The sequence below is a fragment of the Homo sapiens genome, chromosome 5 (assembly GCF_000001405.40).
Source record: "Homo sapiens chromosome 5, GRCh38.p14 Primary Assembly".
Lineage (NCBI taxonomy): Eukaryota > Metazoa > Chordata > Mammalia > Primates > Hominidae > Homo > Homo sapiens.
In genome coordinates this window covers 91,974,346-91,981,250 of record NC_000005.10, presented here as the reverse complement: position 1 = coordinate 91,981,250, position 6,905 = coordinate 91,974,346, and the positions used below count along the sequence as shown (strand labels likewise).

The 6,905-nt window shown below is 32.1% G+C and overlaps 1 annotated feature.

Moving 5' to 3' along the window:
• Positions 4,182-5,292: an enhancer, noted in NCBI's record as "VISTA enhancer hs1227". NCBI's record gives its function as "enhancer in: midbrain (mesencephalon)[4/6]" and the evidence as "EXISTENCE:transgenic organism evidence [ECO:0001131][PMID:17130149]".

The following is a 6,905-nucleotide window of genomic DNA, read 5'->3' as shown; positions in this document are numbered from 1 at the left end:
ACTAAAGTGTGAGAGGCTCTACAGTACACTAATCTCAAGGTGCAAGTTGATTGGTCAAAAAGGTCAGCCTGGATTTTTCTCTAATAATTATGATTTTAACTTGTATTATCTGCCAAAATTTTTTCAAAAACTGTAATTTCAAACCAATATCTTACTAACAAGGACAGATTAGCCAGGATTAAGATTCAGTGAAAGTACAGCCCAAAATAAGAAGCACTCTACTGATCTGAATAAGGCTGTTAAAGTGGGGCAAAAAAACAAAACAAAACAAAACAAAAACACTTCAAATTTTGATAGAATCCTCTTGGTTTATATACCTTCCAGCATAGGTGACTTTATTTCTTCAGCTTTGCTGTTGAAAGGTGTGTTAGAAATAAATATTACAATCCATAAAAGAAAGAAACCAAGGGCTTTCACAGACAGTAGTAATGGCTACGTAATTTAAACAAAGTCCCAGGGCTAATGAAATGGCACTTGATGGGAGTTTCAGGGGCCCTCCATTCTGCCTTCAAAGTGAAGGTTGTAAGGAAATCCTAGGTACGTTGTTCATTACACTTTAGTTGATCTGGCAGCATTAGGGAAGGAGGAGGGGAAAGGAAAGAAAGAGAAAGGGAGAGAGGATATGGGAGTGTGGGAAAGAGTCTGAGATGGCTACTAGAGAAAGCAATTGACTGGTAGAGCTGTAAAGTTTCTACATGTGGAAAAAAAATCAAATCTTGATCCCTGGCATAAAGTCTCTATGAAGCTAAGTTACAGTTCAAGAAAATTCAGCAATATGGTTGTCATGGTATGACAAACAACATTATGTTTTCTTGTTGAATTATATCTTCTGCTTTTCCTTTCTTCAGCAACTATAGCTAAGGATCGTTAAGACAAAAATGAAGTATCCAACATAAAATGACTTTCCGGTATTCCCTGAAATAAGTTCCTTTGAATTGAGTTAGAATAACACGTAAATAAAAAATATTTTTCATAAGAGCTGACTGTTAATAATAAATCTCTCTCAGTAGATAACTCATTACATCCCACTAACCTGGAACTCAATAAACATGAATTAACAGATTCATAGGGAAAAGAAAACAAGATTAAAAAAAAGCTTTCAAGTCTATTATGACCCAATATTTTCTTTAACACATTTAATTTACAATAGAGTGTAGTAAAATTTTCAATGCTTACTTTAAACTTTCCATTATAGGAGTACTTTTTATTGCAATTTTTCAAATTAATTGCTAGTGGTTAAAAAATCTGACAAAATATACAGTAATTTATTTTTTACTCTCAAATTTAGAATGCCATTCTTGTGACATGGTGAATTAATCCATGAAGATACTGTAAATTCAGAAACCACTAATATTATGAGCAGATAATATTCAGAATTTAATTAGATAATTGATGTATAAACTACTGTGAACTATGAATATTGTAATGGCCTATGAACTGCAATAAAACTATTCTCAGTCATTTATACTCTATAGTATTTTAGATACTAAGCCACTGCATTTGCATTTCTGTAGCAAAGGATTTCGTTTTCTTGAAACATGTTATGGCCTGGCCTCATTAACTAAAAAATTAAAAAAAAATACAATTATAGAAAGTCTTCAGAGGTTCTAAAGTGCTATGAATTTTGGAGTGGTTAATGGCATGAGTGTTATTAGCTCAAATTAATCCTGTTGCTTTGGTAGGTTATTTGGAACTATTCATATTTTAATCTAAGAATTTTGTTGTAATTCCATTGGATTTCTTTAAGACTTTAGACCAAAAATAGTGTTGCATTCATAAATCATATGAAAGCAAAATACATATCTCTGTATTGTACTCTACATTAGCTAGTAAATTTCTAAAGTCTTTGCTTTTTTATGGGACCATTCTAGTTGAAAATAAAATAGGTAGTTATTCACAATGGGTATGTAGCTATATCTATAACATTTCCTCATGATTTTCCTGCTGTGGAAATTTGTACTTAACCTTTGAACTTAAGTTTTCTTTACATCATATTTACATATTACACTTTTTGAAATATGTGGACAAGTTGTTTCGTTTAACATACTCTACAATATAAACATCTTACTTTAGGAACCATACCATGTATTACAAGATCAACTTAAATCTGCTATTTTTACATGATTTCACAACACATTTTGTAGTAGTATATAGATGCCATATGATTTTAAGAGTTACACATACAGGAATTTCATTTGCTAAATGTGACATATTTCAACTTACATAAAATTACAAGATGATAGTATTTCAATACTCTCAGGCCAGAAAGTTTTGTCCCTGAAACAATTGGAAGCATTCCTTTAAAATACTTTCTTAAATTTTTCATTTTCTTGAATGAAAAAAAAGGAACAATGGAACTTAACAAAAATTTAATACTAATACGGATAAGTTAAACATAAAACTGCATTGTCATATTAATGGGTAAAGGTTTTTTGAAGTATGGTCAATTTATTGATTTGAGCATGTAAAACTGTTCCTGTTACTTAGGCAGCTTTCTTTTGTTACATCAAGAATGGTAATTTTATTGAGAAAGGCACAATAGAAGATGATTGATTGTCTGCTTTTGTCATGGAGATGAATTATTGCAGAATGCATGCATGAAAAAATAAAAGCATTGTTCTGTAAATTGGCCCTTGATGCTTTGTTCATTTGAGTTCATTGTTCATAGACTCTAGCATGAGCTAATACTAAATAGCATAGTAAATAAAAGCATTTTTTTTGCTAAAGCAAAATTACTTTCTTCACTAATGAAACTCAGCTTTATGAAATCACAGTGTCTGCCAGTGTGCTGCATTTAAAATGTATAATTTAATCTATGCCAAAAGCTGAGTAGTAACAGAAAGTTTGCATAGCTATTATCATTTTATTAAATTAGTAATAAGAGTGCATAATGAAAAATGAAAAACTTTTTATTTAAAACTTAATGGGAAAGCAGCGCACAAGCAATGCAAATTAAAAAGTGGTACATTTAATTTGAGACAGTTGAATAAAATCTATTAAGACAAATACAATTGTCAGTAACCATTGAATGACTTCAATAACTTTTTAATCAAAAAATTAGAATCATGACTATCAAATTTTCTAAGACTTATAAAACGATAAAATATTAGAATACAAAAACACATCTCATCAACTGTTATATCTCTAAAATAAGACATAAAATACTACTTTTAAATAGATGAATGTCATGCCAACTTAGTATTAGCTTCTTAGAGAAATTCTTTCTTTCTTTTTATTTGAGGCACGAATACCTGAATACCATCTAATGTAATTAATCTGTTGTTTTATTAAGTTTGGTCTTTGGATAGATTTTAATGTCAATGACAATCAGTCTCTCCAGCTATGCTACTTTTAACCTAGTTTTGTTTTTTCTTTTCTTTTCCAGTGCACTGTGATTTGCTGAGAGACAGAGCACTTCATTCTAGATACAGCTATCACCTGGTGTTTGCTAAATCACTGAAATTCTTGCAACAGCTGTTTGTTCCTGGGGAAACATTCACTTCATATTGCAGCAATAAACTGATCATTGCCAATTAAATGCCCATTAATTGTGTAAGCAAGGATTACTGCCAGATGTTTACATTAGAAAGAAAAATATCCTTTGCTATTTATTTTCCACTTATGGCCATCCCTTTACATGTAGACAATTATGTATATAAGTTTTTTATAATAAGCCACAAATTTCAATTCAGAAATTAATAAAATAATCTCTCCATAGGTTTGATCTAACAGAAGATAGGCTAGGATAAATCATACATGTAATTAAAAAGAATAAATTTGGACAGAATCACTTTGCAATGTAAAAAATATGCTCAACATTACATAGTGACTCAAATGTTTTGGTTTGTTTTATTTGCTATATTCTATCTTTCCTAGAAGTTGTCCTTATTTTCCCTTTATTCTATTTGGAATAATAAGCCTATGAAATTGTATTTTTTAAAGTTGAAATAGAATAAACTCTCTCCCATAGTCTATTATGGAGAAGAAAACTTTAAAAATAAAGAACCCATATAAAATAAAGGAAGGTGGTGTTTTGTAGAATTTTTGTTAAATCTCACCACTTTTATATTTACCTGGGGCTTCATTCTATCTCAAAATATTATTTAAGTTCTTCTCCAGAATGCAATAGTGATGAAAATGAAACATGTACTTAATAATATGTTGTCTCAAGTAATTTATTTTTCAACATCAAAACAAAATTGGAAATAAAACACCAACCATAATGAATATATTTATTACCTCTTTTAGTGTCTAAATAAATGGTGAAAGTTAAAGAAAAAAAGTGCTTCCATGGCAATACACACCTATAAATCATGTTTTTTTAGACAGGAGAGCTCTCACAGAATATATCATATACATATTTCGCTGCAGTTGTGCCTTCATGTTTTTATAAGGAACAGTAAATTCATATACATATCCTCCCTGTTAGCATCATTAATCCCAAACCCTCACATCCCAACCATACAATGTATGCAAACAATAACAACAAAAAGATTAGGTGGCATTCTGTTCCTCACCATATTGAACCACACCTCCTCTTTGGAAGGTGATCACAGGACACATTCAGAGCTGCGGAAGACATGAAACAGTAGCATCTGGCTCCTTAAATATCTCCACAGGCATTTGTAATGGCATCTTTGAAGTTTTCTCTGCATCTGTCACATGTTTAGACTGCACATTGACTGCCCCAGCTGAGCACGATTTTGATTCTTTGAGACTTTGAATAGTGTAATCTGTTTAAGAATAAGGCTCGGGAAAATCCCTCATAATATCCATACACAAGCTCTTTCATGATTAAAAAAAGGGGGTCCTCATTCCCATAACTGTTATTTTTTTATGCTGAAATGATGCCAGCCTTTGAGTTAATAATACAGCCTACAATTACATTCCAGCTTTGCACATTTTTTTTGAGAACCTGTACTCAAAAATCACATCTTGTCTACTTTTTTCTAACCAGTGTTATAGAAATTACTACTTGAGAAGAAGGCCTCTGTAAATGTGATGTGTGCATAATCGTCTTGGCACCCAATTATAAAAGAAATCTGACCACTGTCAACTCACTTTGAAAATCATCTTTGATTCAACTTATTGAGTATCAAGTGCAGGATATAAGAATAAAGGGTGAGTTGACTTAAATGGTAGTTTGAGTGCTATTGACTTTGCATCTATTAAATTAATATACTTCTTACAATTAAGTGATGAGGACTCCACTTAACCCACCTCAATATGTGAAAAGACTATTTCCTACTCTTAATGGTATCCTCAAGATATATCAAACGCCCACAAATACAAATTAAGACTATTAAGTATGGGTTCATTCTTTCCAATTCCAAAGTTTTGTTATTTTAAACTTTTGAAAATTAACAAAAACTGTCTTTGGTGTCTCTAAACTCAATATTTCAATTTCATTTTCCTCAGATGAGAAAAATACCTCATAAGTTTATTGACTGTAGAATATCAAGAGCTTACTATTTCACTCTCTCTTAAAGCTTTCTGTTTTAAAAGAGAACCACATGAAAGAAACGTTTCACACTAAATCATGACTAATTTGAGCATTTTTGCACATACGTGCACACACACACATAAACACACACACACACCCCAAAACAAACTGAAAATGTAAAAAAAAAAAAAAAACAGCTGTTTTAAGGCAGAAGGTTTTTTGAGTCACACTGAATTATATCATTTCGGACATCATTTTCTGTTTGCTTATGAGATTACCTTGACAGAATTGGTTACTTTGTATAGTTCATAAAGAGGTTTGCGGGTCGTTTTTTTTCTTACTTAACAAAAAGAGCACCACTACTTAAAGAATGTAAAAGTAAAACTCAGCATCAGGAATAGTTGCCAAAATATTGCATACTCATATCTTGAACACAGTAGGTTGTCATGAGACATCAAGCTATTTATACAAATGAGTTAACCTTATGAATGTCAGTAATCAAAACCCTGGAGTGAGGCTTAGAATGAGACAGTAGCAGGTATGAAACAGCTGGGAGAAATTGGGAGCACTTGTAAAGAAGAGGTTCAGATGCACACTACATTCCATATGAAGAGAATTCATAGTACTCAACTTATCTTTCTGAAGCGTTTTCACTCTCCTTTGGGGAGCATGTCACTATAGAATGTGTAGTAGCTTCTTTCTGACCTCCTTCTGCCAACTTGAGAGTGACTCTCTTCAAAGTCTTAGATTACTAAGGACATTATATCCACCAAAAAGGTCACAGTGCATTGGTATAGCTTTTTTACCTAATGTTTGTGACTTTCATTATATGCCTGTTTGATACACAGATATACAAATTTGCTCACCCAATAGCATGCAGATGTGTCTTTGCATTCACACATATGGGTCTCTTAATTCAGATTTGGATGAATGGTTAAACTAAAATGTCAGACTTGGTCAGGCTTGGTCATTCTGATTGAATACAGGTCTTGTTCCCAAATAGAATACAAAAAGGTCAGCGTGTGCTACTTGTTCCCAGAAAACACAATGATGAAAGACCATAAGAGGGAAGTGTGGGTCCAGTGATTTAGAGGCCACTGCGACTTCACAAATTAAGAACACCAGAGAAATGTCTACTGTGAACTCATTTGGCTATCATGATGGTGCATCTGTAAGTGACAAAAGCCACTTTAGGCATTAGTTGTAGGAGAGAGTGTGAAGCAGGAGTGAGAAATTTGTTCTCAAAGAATACTTTATCAGTCTCAGTTCCATCTTTATTATCAAGCATCCATGCCATACAGTTTCTTTCTTATTTCCCTTATGGGTAACTGTGGAAGAATTCTGAAATAAAGTGTTGATTTTTATGACTATTAAGAAAAAACTTGGATGACAAATTAATTCACTTGATATCCGAATAATTACGATTTAGAAGGATAGGCTATAAAATACTATAGGAGAACGA